This window comes from Homo sapiens, chromosome 7, assembly GCF_000001405.40.
Source record: "Homo sapiens chromosome 7, GRCh38.p14 Primary Assembly".
In the NCBI taxonomy this organism is placed as follows: Eukaryota; Metazoa; Chordata; class Mammalia; order Primates; family Hominidae; genus Homo; species Homo sapiens.
The window spans coordinates 25,126,062-25,140,051 of record NC_000007.14 but is presented as its reverse complement, the minus strand read 5'-3'; the positions used below and the strand labels follow the sequence as shown (position 1 = coordinate 25,140,051).

Here is a 13,990-nt window from a genome sequence, read left to right as displayed (position 1 = left end):
AAAATACATATTCCATTATATACAGGATGTTTGCCAAATATGTTATATGCAAAATCATTGTGCAAGCAAATCAACTCTTAAATATTTATGAATAACGAGATAAAATATACCTAAGATAATTGGAAGTTTAAAAGAAAGTTTTAGTGACTCTTGCTGGTTTCTGATTAAACCATAAAGAACAGACTGGGAAAACATGTTTTAATGGTAATAAAAATGTGTATGAAATATTTTATTGTAGTAGTGTAAAATAAAAGCACTAAAAACTGCTTCTTGCATACAGAAATATATATGGTCAAAGTACAATATGATAAGTCCTGTCCTTTTTTATGACAAATTTAACAAAGCACGTCAAAGAGCTGAAGTTTTTTCATCACAGTATTTACTCAAACTTGATTAGCTAAAGGCTGTAACAAATTTGTTACCTCAATATGGAAATTTCTCTGACTATGAACAGATTAGCTTTCAAAAGGATGTTCCTAAGTCCATTTTTTTAAGTCCAAGCTACAGTGATTATTTTCTCACTACTCTCATTTGTATTATCTCTGCTGTCAATTCCATCATCATTATACATACATTCTTTGGTAGTTTTTTTACTTTAACATATTATTATAAAATGTTTGAAACATACAGAAAAGTAAAAAAAAAAATGTATAATTAACACCCATATACTCACCACCTAGATTCTACCACTAACATTTTGCTATGCTTGTTTTATCACATAATCTATCCATCTTTCCATCCCTCTAACCATCCATCATCCAGAAATAATAAAAATATATTATTTGTATGCATTTTAGAGTAAATTGCAGACATTAGTATACTTCACTCCTAAACATGCAGCATGTATATTATCAACCAGAGTTCAATATTTGTTTGCGGTTTTTTTTTCTTTTAAGATGAAATAAAGTTCAATGCAATTGCACAAATCTTAAGTGTACATTCATCGAGTTTTAACAAACACACCTTTGTAACCCAAACCCCTATCAAGATACAGAATACTATCATTCCAGAAAGTTTCCTCCTCATACCCCCTCCCAGTCAGCTGCATCCTCTTCCCACCACCCAGCGTGTATCTATTAATAGCACTTTAAATACACTCACTACTTTCGCAGTTACCAGACATAATTGAGTTCATATTTATAAAACAACTTAAAAAGAAGCACAGACATGACACCTCAGACCAGTGTTTCTCAAAGCATAGCAAATCTCCAGCCTCACCATCACCTGAAATGCTCGTTGAAAATTCAGCTTCCATATATTTACATGCAAATCTGTGTATGGACATATGTTTTTGTTTTGGGAGAGTAGTTATATGATTTTAGGAAACTTCAAAACCATTTTTCAAAGTGGCTGTAACTCTTTACATTCCAACCAGAAATGTATGAGGGTTTTTATTACTCAACATAAATGCCAACAGTTATTTATTTCTCTCTTTTTGATTATACGGTGACTGTGGAGTATTAACTCATTGTGGTTATTTTTGGTTTTGTAAATAAATTTTATTAGAACATGGCAACAGTTGCTGGGCACAGTGGCTCAGGCCTGTAATCCTGTCATTTTTGGGAGGCAAAGGCAGGAGGATTGCTTGAGCCTAGTAGTTAGAGACCAGCCTGGGCAACATAACAAGACTCTATCTTCACAAAAAGAAAATAAAAGAACTCAGCAATATTCATTTGTTTATGGATTGTTTATGGTTGATTTTATTCAACAATGGCAGAGTTGCATTGTTACAATGATGATCACATGGTCCACAATGCTTACACTAAATTATGAGCTTATTACTACTTGGCCTTTTACAGAAAAAAGTTTTCTGATCCCTGGAATAGATCAACAAAATTGACAAACTTCTAGTTAGATTGATTAAGAACAAAAGAATACACACATAAATCACAGTTATAATGAATTTTTTTAAAAGATTATCATTACATATTCTCCAGGCATTAAAAAGATCATAACTTAAAATTGACAAGTGTCCTTAAAAAGTGGTCCTCCCAAAATTGGCATGAGAAGATAAAGAAAATCTGAATAGTCCTATACATAATAATAAATTGAATTTATCAAAAACCCTCCTAAAATGGAAAGTCTAGACCCAAGTGGTTTTACTGGTAAATCTTTTCTAATCTTCAAGGAGAAATAACACCAATCTTACACAAGATTTTTAGAATGTAAGGAAGGTTAAATTACCCCATATTATGGGTAATCTCTTTTGTTGAAGTTGTAGCATAATCCCAAGTACCTCAGAATGTGACCTTATTTGGAAATAGGGTCATTTCCAAGGTAATCAAGTTAAAATGAGGTCATGAGGGTGAATTTAATCCAATCTAACTGGTGTTCTTATAAAAAGAAAATTTAGAGGTAGACATGCTGCAGAGAGAATGTCTTGTGAACATGAAAGCAGACAGTGGGGTCATGCCTCTACAAGCCAAGGGACACTAAAGATTTCCATTAAACCACCCAGAATCTTGGGAAGAGGCAGGAATCAGATTTTTCTTCACAACCCTCAGAAGAAACCAACCCTGCCAATACACTGAGGCTGAACTTCCAGAACTATGAGACAATAAATTTCTATTGTTGAAGCCACCCAGTTTGTGGTACCTCATTATGGCAGCGCTAGCAAATTAATACACTCCGCAACTTGTTTCATGAGGTTCGCATTACTCTAATACTGTCAAAACCTGCCAAAACCATAAGAGAATGAAAACCAAAGAGAAAGGAAAGAAAAAAGAAAAAATAAAAAAAAAAAAAAAAAAGAAAATTCAGCTTCCTGGGGCCCACTACAGGCCTTCTGACCCACAGTCTTGGAGGGTCTTAGGAGTCAGGAATCTCCTGCCAGCTCTGCAGATGATTCTGACTCAGCCAAGGTTTAAGGGCACTTGCTAAGGCCTAATAAAGGAGACTTTGGCTGAGATTAAATAACTGCACACGCGGCTAATGCCATCTGTTAGTGATGGACAGAAGTTTTATTCCAGTGATTGCTTTATATCTTTGAAGTTTAAAAGCAGAGTTCCCACACAGAAAGAGTTCTGTATAGCCAAATAAAAAACATGCCCCTTTCATACTCTCTAAAACCAGTAAAGGAGGAAAATGTATTTGGACCCAAATTTCAATGTCTTTAAATTAGTATCAAAGAGCATTGCAATGTACACTCCTATGCCCATCTCGTGTACTCAGACAATGAAAATGGGTATGACTTTTGACCTACCATTTGTGGCAATATCCCTGATCAATTTTTTTCTCCTTTTTATCCCACAACTACAGCAAGAAAAATTCCACCCTGTCTTCAAACCTCCCAGACCGTTGGAAGGACGAATTGCCCGATTAATTCAGAACCGACGTTCTCTGGAGGCTATAGTCCAGCAAAGACCACGTTCCTGTCCAGATTGTACTCCTAGAGTTTTGTGTAATTTTCATACCTTTGTACCCAGTTCTAAAGAAATGGTGGCACTTAGTGATAACATACCAGCCGGTGTGACCCATAAAAACCAGGATATTGAAGAGAAGATCATAGAAGAACAGAGCTTGCTGTCTACCTATGAACTCCCATCTTGTTACCCAACAAAAGACCTAACTAGCATTTATGACATAAAGCCATTTCCAAAAATCACAGATACTAAAAAGACAGAAGATTTATACTGGAGACAGCAGTCACTAAAAACCCAACCCACACCTTACTGTAAACCAGACCACTGGATTCACTATGAAAATCTTAAATCTCCCCTACGTGATCAGTATAATATGTGTCCAGACCCTGTTAGCCTTAGTAAACCTAGTGTTTTACAAAATAAACAAGACACGGAAGCTTTCACTTTAGAACATTTTTTAAGTAAGCCAGAAGAAGAGTTGTTCTTGAATATGGAAAACAATGAAGAAACAAGACCTGTTCTTGGTTGGATTCCTAGAGCTGGAGTGACCAAACCTCAGACCAACCTGCTGGAGCTTAAGAACTCTTTTTCAAAAACTGGTGCACAAAAGCGTTTCCATAAATCAATTCTAGAAGACCATAAAGACCTCAGGGATAATGAGCATTCGGGGATGAAGCACCAATTCTATGGCCATAATTCCTATTATTTCTATAATTGAGATACTCATTCTTCCCTTCAAAACCCAGCCTCTTGCAAGAAGCTAAAAAATATAACAGAATTTCCTTCGTATTGCTGGATTCTGTTTTCTAGATTAAACCACAAGGACCTTGTTAGTGAGGTTTACATTTTCAGGAATTTAAGTTAGTATCTGGTTGGAGGAACCCAGAAAAGGTGATGTTATGACTTCTTGAAAAGTTTAACAATTTGGCAATAAAATATTAGAACTAGAAAAATTTATAGTCTTTAATCTCTCATCTTCAGATTATACAAGGAAATTTTCCAAAATCACAAAAAGCAATGTGTACAACAAAGTTTACATCATTGTTTCACCAAAAAAAATTGAAAAGCTGGAAAGAACTCAAATGATCAATAATTAATGAATGACTATACAAATTATAGTATCTTAATAAAAATGAGAACACTGTCCCTTTATGTAAATTTTTGTACATAGTAGCATTAGGTAGAAAAGACAAAACCCAAACACCTAGTTAATTGAGGGATGGACACCTCTAAAAACTATATTGTCTTAAAAGTATGTGGACTCTGTTCCTTTATGTAAACATGTAAAGAAAATAAGTCAGCGAAAAAAATGAAACCCAAAACTCTCTGCATGTACACATTACAAATTGAATTGTTTGCTTACCCTTAACCTTCTGATTGAGAAACATAACTGTTTCTTTTATGCAGATAAAATTATTTTACTGAAGATCTAGCAATGGCCTTAATTAGCAACTGGTGAGTTCTAATTATAGCAAGAAAGGATGGCTTGGTATCAGTTATTACAGAGCCCCAAATCTTCATTTCTGGAGTGTGTTCTCTAAGAGTTTGGCTAACTCCCATATGCAAGTCAATTCATTTAATGTGCCAAGAGGTAGATTTTAAACATAGTCTATCGTGGAAGTTCAAGAGGAATTTCTTTAAGTATTTTGTGAATATTTATTTTAATTTTATGACCAACATGTCATTTGGTTGTAACCTCCTTAAAACTATTCTGGGCTAAAGTTAGAGAATTTTTTTCCAACTGCATTCTGTACAGCACTAGTTACATTATGACAGGAAGTAAAAGTTTACATGGTGAAATAATACTGGGGAAATCGGAGCAACAATGTCAGTTGCATGCCTTGGTCACTGGGTTCTCTATAGCCTTTAATATGTAATGCAATTGGGAGTGTCTGAAGTGAGGGAGATATAGTGTACACACTTTTTATCACAGAGTAGATCACTGGAATGGAATTCCAAATAATAAACTTTGGAAGGTGTAACTCTCCAGTATAAAAATTTGAGGTTTTGATTGCACTCCTAGAGTTTTGTGTAATGTTCATACCTTTGTACCCAGCTTCCCTGGGTTGCATGGAAATTAGTTAGAAATTACATTCTAAATATGGTGTTCACTCTGCCTACCTCCATGCAAGGGTGGCACAGCCTTCTCTTTAGGCATTGTCATAGTCATGCTTCTCAACTAAGAGGAAGTCAGCCTTTCCTTTAACTCTGCTGATTGTTAAAGCTAATGAATCTGCCCTTATTTGATGACAGAAAATACCAAACTCCAAGCATGCTCATCAAAAAGCTCAATTTTTTTGTTTTGTGTGTGTGTGTTTTTTGTTTTTGTTTTTTTGGTTTTTTTTTTTTTTTTTTTACAAAATGTGTTAGTTTACTAACTGGTTCTTTTGTGTGTGTGTGTGTGTTTTGTTTTTGTTTTTGTTTTTGTTTAAGTCAGAGTCTCACACTGTTGCCTGGGCTGGAATGCAATGGTACAATCTTGGCTCACTGCAACCTCCGCCTCCTGGGTTCAAGCGATTCTCCTGCCTCAGCCTCCCAAGTAGCTGGGATTACAGGCACCTGCCACCACGCCCGGCTAAGTTTTTGTATTTTTAGTAGAGAAGAGTTTTCACTAGTTGGCCAGGCTGGTCTCGAACTCCTGACCTCGTGATCCACCTGCCTCGGCCTCCCAAAGTGCTGGGATTACAAGCGTGAGCCACCATGCCCAGCCTAGTAACTCTATTTTTGTCATACATTGGCAACGTCTTTAATATCCAGAGATTCGGTATTATAAAGTTAAGACTCACTTGTCCAGTACATGCACAATATATACAGTACAGAAAAGTTAAATCAAAAGAACATAATATATAGAGCAATGGATAAGCTGAAATGTTCTAGTACACATTAGCAAAACACCTTTTGCAATTTCCTCCCTCCTCCCTCAACCCAATGAATGATACAGAGAGTACACTGTTCACAGAGGTGGTTTAACATTCTATTATACTTCCAAACACGGTATTTTCCATTAATTTTTAAAAGCTATTTACAAAAAGCGTTACTCTACTACTTCTGCTTTTAAAACATTAGGCACATCCGAATATCTACAAAGACTAGATATTTCATATCAGAACTTGTCTACTATATACACAGCAGTTAAATTACACACATTACAAGGGTCACAATCTGAGAGATCTTCTAAATATGACCACTTTGGCCTTGAACCATTCTATCCTCACTTCCTTCTCTCTGCCTTCAATCCAGTGGACAAACATAAGCATGTGTAATGCTTAGAGATGGTTGAACAAATTCATATCCAAGTCATTTACAGAAGACAACTTGCTATTTCAACACAAAGTGTACAAAACTGTGCTAATTCTAAGTGCTTTCATACACTGGCAACCTCTTTAACATCTAGAGACTGGATGTTGCAAAATTAGGACTCATTTGTCCATTATATACACTATATACACAGCAAAACAAAATGCACAAAACATACAGAAAAAAAGTTCCTGAAAATGTCCAAATATGAACACACTAGCATATTACCTTTTGCAATTCCTTCCCTCCTACCTCCTCTAAACCACTGAACAAGTACAGACAATAATATACTGCTCACAGAAGTGGTGTAACAATTCCATTTCCAAAAGCCAATTTTCCTATGAATTTTAGCAAAAAGTGATATTTTACTACCTCTACATTTAACATACATAAGGAGTTAATTTGTCCACTATGTGTACAGCAGTCTTGAATAAATTGCACACATGTAAGAGTAGTTATAATTTGAAAGAGCCTTTAAAATATGAACATTCTGGCCTAAAACCCTTCCCATCTCCATCAACTCAGTGGTCAATAATGCTCAAATTTTCGGAAATTTGAGCAAAATGTATAAAACATACTCGTTTACTAAACTTACTTTTGTTATACACAAGCAACTCTTTAACATCTAGAAAGACTAGATGTTGTAAATTAGGTATTGTTTATCCTTTATATACACAGATAAGTACAATAAAATGCATAGAAGTAAGGAACAGTGGTTAATCTTGCCTCACTGTGGACATCAGCATAGAGCTCTTTGCACTTCCTTTTCCTGTCTCCTCCCCTGAAACAGTGCACAAACACAATGTGTACTACTCAAGGGGTGGTTTGGCCATTCTCCCCCAAACATTTCTTATGGAATTTTAACAAAAAGACATTTACAAAATGTATCATTTTACAACCTCTACTTTTACTTTTAACAAATGTATCAGGCACTGAATACCTACAAAGCCTAGATATTTCAAAAAAGTACTTAGCATTGTCAATGATATATACAGTAGTGAGGAATAAAATGCACACAACAATAGTTATACTGAGAGACAGGACTAGCTGGATTTCCTAGGTCGACTAAAAATCCCCAAGCTTAGCTGGGAAGGTGACCCCTTCCACCTTTAAACATGGGGCTTGCAACTTAGCTCACACCCGACCAATCAGATAGTAAAGAGAGCTCACTAAAATGCTAATTAGGCGAAAACAGGAGGTAAAGAAATAGCTAATCATCTGTTGCATGACAGCACAGCGGGAGGGACAATGATCGGGATAGAAACCCAGGCATTCGAGCCAGCAACAGCTACCCTCTTTGGGTCCCCTCCCTGTGTATGGGAGATCTGTTTTCACTCTATTTCACTCTATTAAATCTTGCAACTGCACTCTTCTGGTCCATGTTTGTTAAGGCTCGCTCGAGCTGAGCTTTCACTTGCCGTCCACCACTGCTGTTTGCCGCCGTCGCAGACCCGCCGCTGACTTCCATCCCTCCGGATCCAGCAGGGTGTCAGCTGTGCTCCTGATCCAGCGAGGTGCCCATTGCCACTCCCAATAAGGCTAAAGGCTTGCCATTGTTCCTGCAGGGCTAAGTGCCTGGGTTCGTCCTAATTGAGCTGAACACTAGTCACTGGGTTCCATGGTTCTCTTCCGTGACCCATGGCTTCTAATAGAGCTATAACACTCACCACATGGCTCAAGATTCCATTCCTTGGAATCTGTGAGGCCAAGAACCCCAGGTCAGAGAACACGAGGCTTGCCACCATCTTGGAAGTGGCCTGCTGCCATTTTGGAAGTGGCCTGCCACCATCTTGGGAGCTCTGGGAGCAAGGACCACTCCTCCCCCACCGTAACAATAATACGAAGTGTTTTCTAAATATGACCAGTCTGGCATAGAACCTTTTTCTCTACCTTCTCAGGTCTTCCAGCTCCATGTCCTCTAACCCAGCAGTCCACAACCTTTCTGGCATCAGGAACCAGTTTTGTGGAAGGCAATTTTTCCATGGACCGGGGCATGGGGGAGGATGATTTTAGGATCATTCAAGTGCATTACATTTATTGTGCACTTTATTTCTATTATTATTACATTATAATATACAGTGAAATAATTATATAACTCACCATAATGTAGAATCAGTGGGAGCCCTGAGCTTGTTTTCTTGCATCTAGATGGTCCCATGTGGGGGTGATGGGAGATAGTGACAGATCATCAGGCATTAGATTCTCATAAGGAGCATGCAACCTAGATCCCTTGCATGTGCAGTTCACAATAGAGTTCAAGTTCCTATGAGAATCTAATGCCACCATTGATCTGACAGGAGATGGAGCTCAGGCAGTAATGTGCGTGAAGGGGAGTGGTAGTAAATACAGATGAAGCTTCATTTGCTCACCCCCCACTCACCTCCTTCTATGTGGCCCTGTTCCTAACAGGCCACAGAGCAGGGATTGAGGGCCCTGCTCCAAACCACTGAACAGATATGGATGTGTGTTGCTCCCAGTGTCACTGAAACTGCATTTGCAAAAATGATGAAAGTCAAATAAATCTGACATAGCTATTTCCATCTTGCTTCTAACCTCACAAGCTGTGTGTTCATTCCTGGGCATAGGCCAAGCTAACTACGGGAGGAATTTATAGTTTAACTGTAAGGCAAAGACAATAATAGCTCCTTCCTTCCCAAAACTAACCCCCTACTTGTTCAGGAACCAAAAATCACCCTTGAAAAACTAATGAAAGGTCACAAGGTTAGGATTATGGGAGGGGCCTGAATTGCTAAGAAGTAGGTGTAGTTAAGTGATAACTGGCTGGGCGCGGTGGCTCACACCTATAATCCCAGCACTTTGGGAGGCTGACGTGGGCGGAACATCTGAGGTCAGGAGTTCAAGACCAGTCTGGCTAACATGGTGAAACCCTGTTTCTACTAGAAATACAAAAAATTAGCCGGGCATGGTGGCACACACCTGTAATCCCAGCTACTTGAGAGGCTGAGGCAGGAGAATCTCTTGAACCTGGGAGGCAGAGGTTGCAGTGAGCCGAGATCGCGCAATTGTACTACAGCTTGGGCAACAAGAGCGAAACTCCGTCTCAAAAAAAAAAAAAAAAAGAAGTGATAACCAGCCACTGTCCCCAGCTTGCTTTTCTTTTTTCTTTTCTTTCTTTTTTGTTTTTTTGAGATGCGGAGTCTTTCTCTGTCGCCCAGGTTGGAGCGCAGTGCAGTGGCATGATCTCAGCTCACTGCAACCTCCACCTCCCAGGTTCAAGTGATTCTCCTGCCTCAGCCTCCCAAGTAGCTGGGATTACAGGCATGCACCACCACACTGGGCTAATTTTTTGTATTTTTAGTAGAGACGGGGTTTCACCATGTTGGCCAGGCTGGTCTCATACTCCTGACATCAAGTGATCCACCCGCCTCGGCCTCCCAAAGTGTTGGGATTACAGGCATGAGCCACCACACCCAGCCACCAACTATCCTTGAAAAACCCTAGCTTCCGTATTCTTAGGGAGGCAGATTTGAAAATTATCTCCCATCCTTCTGCTTGGCTGGCCCTCTGATAATTAAACTCTTTCTCTGCTCCAAAAACTGTTGCTCTCAATGCATTGGCTTTTCTAGGCAGCAGGCAAGAAGAACCCATTGGGCTGTTACAGCACTTCCAGAGGTAGTCTAATAACTCCTCTCCAAAAAGTCATTTTGGTGGAGAGGTGGAGCAAGATGGCCAAATGGAAGCCTCCAGGAATTGCCCCCGACATAGGAACAACAAATTGAACAACTATCCACCCAAAAAAGAACCTTCATAAGAACCAAAAATCATGTGAGCAATCACAGTACCTGGTTTTAACATCATATTAAGGAAAGAGGCACTGAAGAGGGTAAAAAAGGCAGTCTTGGATTGCCTACACCACCCCTTCCACATCCCCCAGCAGTGGCCACATGGCATAGAGAATCAGTGTGCTTGCGGAAGGGACAGGGCAGTGATTGCAGGGCCTTGCATTGGAACTCAGTGCTGCCCTGTCACAGTGAAAAACAACACTGGGCAGAAATCAGCCAGTGCCCAGAGGGAGCATGTAGATGAGCCCTAGCTAGAGAGGAGTCATTCATCCAAGCAGCCAGAACCTGAGTTCTAGCAGGCCCAGCTACCGTGGGCTAAAGTGCTCTGGGGGGGTCCCAAATAAACTTGAAAGGCAGAATAGGCCAAAAGAACTACAATTCTTGGGCAAGTTCTGTTGCTGGGCTTGGAGCCATTGGGCTTAGAATGTACATGACCTAGTGAGATGCTAGCCAGGGAGGCCAAGGGAATGCTTGCATCACCCTTCTCCAAGCCACAGGCACTGCTGCTGACAGTACTGGGAGAGACTCCTTCCCACCACTTGAGGAGAAGAGAGGGGAGAGTAAAGAAGACATTGTCTTACAACTTGAATACCAGCTCAGCCACGGTAGAACTGTGCACTAGGGGGAGGCCCCCATTTCATGCCCTAGCCCCCACATGAAATTTCTAGAGACACCCTGGGCCAGAACGGAACCTGTTGCCTTAAAGGGAAGAGCCCAGGCCTGGCAAGATTCATCACTTGCTGACTAAAGAGACTTTGGGCTTGAATAATCAGTAGTAGTAGCCAGCCATGCTGGCTTCAGGTGTGGTGGCTTCAGGGGAGAGACTCCTATTTGAGGAAAGGAGAGGGAAAAGTAAGGAGACTTTGTCTTGCGACTTGGATACCAGCTCAGCTACTGGGGAGTAGGGCACCAAGCAGGCTCCTGGAGTCCCTGATTCCATGCCTTGGCTCCTAGACAGCATTTCTGGACATGCCCTGGGCCAAAGAGGACCCCACTGCCCTGAAAGGAGAAACTCGGGACTAATAGCATTTATCACAAGCTGACTGAAGAGCCCCTGTGCCTTGAGTGAATGTTGGCATAGCCAGGAAGTACTAGCCATGGGCTAGTGCAATGGTGGTCATGGGGAAGGACTTTGATGCTTGAGGAAAGAGGAGGGAAGAGTGAGAATAACTTTATCTTGTGGTTTGGGTGCCAGGTCAGCCACAGTGGAATAGAGTACCAGGTAGATTCCTAAGGTTCCCGACCCCAAGCCCTGGCTTCCAGACAGCATCTCTGGACCTACTTGAAGATGGAGAGAACTTGTTGCCCTGATAGGAAGGACACAAGGCTGGCTGAATTCACCAGCTTCTGAATGCAGGCCTTGAGGAAACATAAGCTACTGTAGCTAGACAGTGGTCACTGCAAGCCTTGGACCAGACCCAGTGCTATGTTGGCATCAGGTCTCTCCTAGCACAGTCACAGTGGAGGCAGCCACAAGGGTGCTTGTGTCACCTCTCCCCTAGCTCCAGACAGCTCAGTGCAGAGACTCCATTTGTTTGGGTGAAAGTAAGATAAGAGAACAGAGTCTCTGCCTGGTAATCCAGGTAATTCTCCTGGATCTTACCCAAGACCACAAATGTCATACCCCTACAAGTCTGCAAAAGCTATAGTTTTACTGAGCTTCGGATGGCCCCTAATGCAGATATAGCTGCAGTGACCAAAGACTTAGATCACAACACCCAAGTCCCTTCAAATACTTGGAAAGCCATCCCAAGAAGGGTGGATACAAAAAAATAAAAAGCCCAGACTGTGAAGACAATAATAAATACCTAACTCTTCAGTGCCCAGACACCAACAAAAATCCACAAGCATCAAGACCACCCTGGTAAACACGACCTCACCAAACAAACTAATGAAGGCACAAGTGACCAATTCCAGAGAGAAAGAGATATGTGACTTTTCAAACAGAGAATTCAAAATAGCTGTGTTGAGGAAGCTCAACAAAATTCAAGATAACACAGAGAAGAAATTCAGAATTCTACAAGATAAATTTAACAGAGATTAAAACAATTAAAAAGAATCTAGCAGAAATTCTGAAGCTGAAAAATCCAATTAACGTACTAAAAAATGCAGTCCCTTACAGGCAGAATTGATCAAACAGAAGGAAGAATTAGTGAGCTTGAAGATGGGCTATTTGAAAATACACACTCAGAAGAGACAAAAGAAAAAAGAATAAAAATGAATGAGGTACACCTATAAGATCTAGAAACTGGCTTCAAAGGGCAAATCTAAGAGTTACTGGCCATAAAGAGGAGCTAGAGAGAGAGATCAGGGTAGAAAGTTTATTCAGCGAGATAATGACAGAGAACTTCCCAAACCTAGAGAAAGATATCAATATTCAAGTACAAGAAGGTTATAAAACACCAAGCAGATTTAACCCAACGAAGACACCCCAAAACATTTAATAATCAAACTCCCAAAGATCCAGGATAAAGAAAGAATCCTAAAAGCAAGCAAGAGAAAAGAAACAAATAACATAAAAAGGAGTTCTAATAAGTCTGGCAGCAAACTTATCAGTGGAACTTTACAGGCCGGGAGGGAGTGGCATTACATATTTAAAGTGCTGAGGGAAAAAACTTTTATCCTAGAATAGTACATCCAGTGAAAATATCCTTCAGATGTGAGGGAGAAATAAAGACTTTCCCAGGCAAACAGAAGCTGAGGGATTTCATCAACACCAGACCTGTCCTACAAGAAATGCTAAAGGGAGTTCCTCAGTCTGAAAGAAAAGGACATTCGTAAGCAATAAGAAACCACCTGAAGGTACAAAACTCACTACTAATAGTAAGTACACAGAAAAACACACAATATTATAATACTGTAATTGTGTGTAAACTGTTCATATCTTGAGTAGAAAGACTTAGAGATTAACCTAACTTATCAAAAATAATAGCTATAACAACTTTTCAAGACATAGTATAATAATATATAAATAGAAACAAGAAAAAGTTTTAAAAGTGGGGAGAGTGAAGTTAAAGTGCAGAGTTTTTCTTAGTTTTCTCTTTGATTTTTGTTTATGCAATCAATGTTATGTTGTCATCAGTTTAAAACAATGGGTTATAAAATATTATTTGCCCTGGGCGTGGTGGCTCACACCTGTAATCCCAGCACTTTGGGAGGCCGATGCGGGTGAATCACCTGAGGTCAGGAGTTCGAGACCAGCCTGACCAAATAGTGAAACCCCATCTCTACTAAAAATACAAAAATTAGCTGGGCGTGGTGGTTTGCTCCCGTAGTCCCAGCTACTTGGGGGGCTGAGACATTAAATGGCGCCACTGAAGAAGAATGAATAAGGTCTAGTAATACAACAGGGTGACTACACTCAACAATAATTTATTGTACATTAAACAAACTAAAAGTATAATTGGATTGCTTGTAACAGAAAAAAAGGATAAATGCTTGAGGTGATGGATAGACCGTTTACCCTGATGTGATTATTATACATTGTATGCCTGTATCAAAATATCTCATGTACCTCTTAAGTATATA

General features: G+C 39.7%; 1 protein-coding gene across 5 annotated transcripts in view; it reads left to right on the top strand.

Annotated features, from left to right (window-relative positions):
- SPMIP4 (sperm microtubule inner protein 4) overlaps positions 1-13,990 on the top strand; it is a 54,583-nt gene that overhangs the window by 40,303 nt on the left and 290 nt on the right. For 4 of the 5 annotated variants that reach the window (NM_001371352.1, NM_001371351.1, NM_138811.4 and 1 more), the window contains one exon: positions 3,259-5,360. The exons of the other annotated variant lie outside the window; for it this stretch is intronic. In NM_001371352.1, the coding sequence (NP_001358281.1) occupies positions 3,259-4,080 (822 nt within the window). In that variant the 3' untranslated portion in view covers positions 4,081-5,360. Of the gene's footprint in view, positions 1-3,258; positions 5,361-13,990 lie in introns of those variants that run through there. 5 annotated transcript variants of the gene reach the window in all.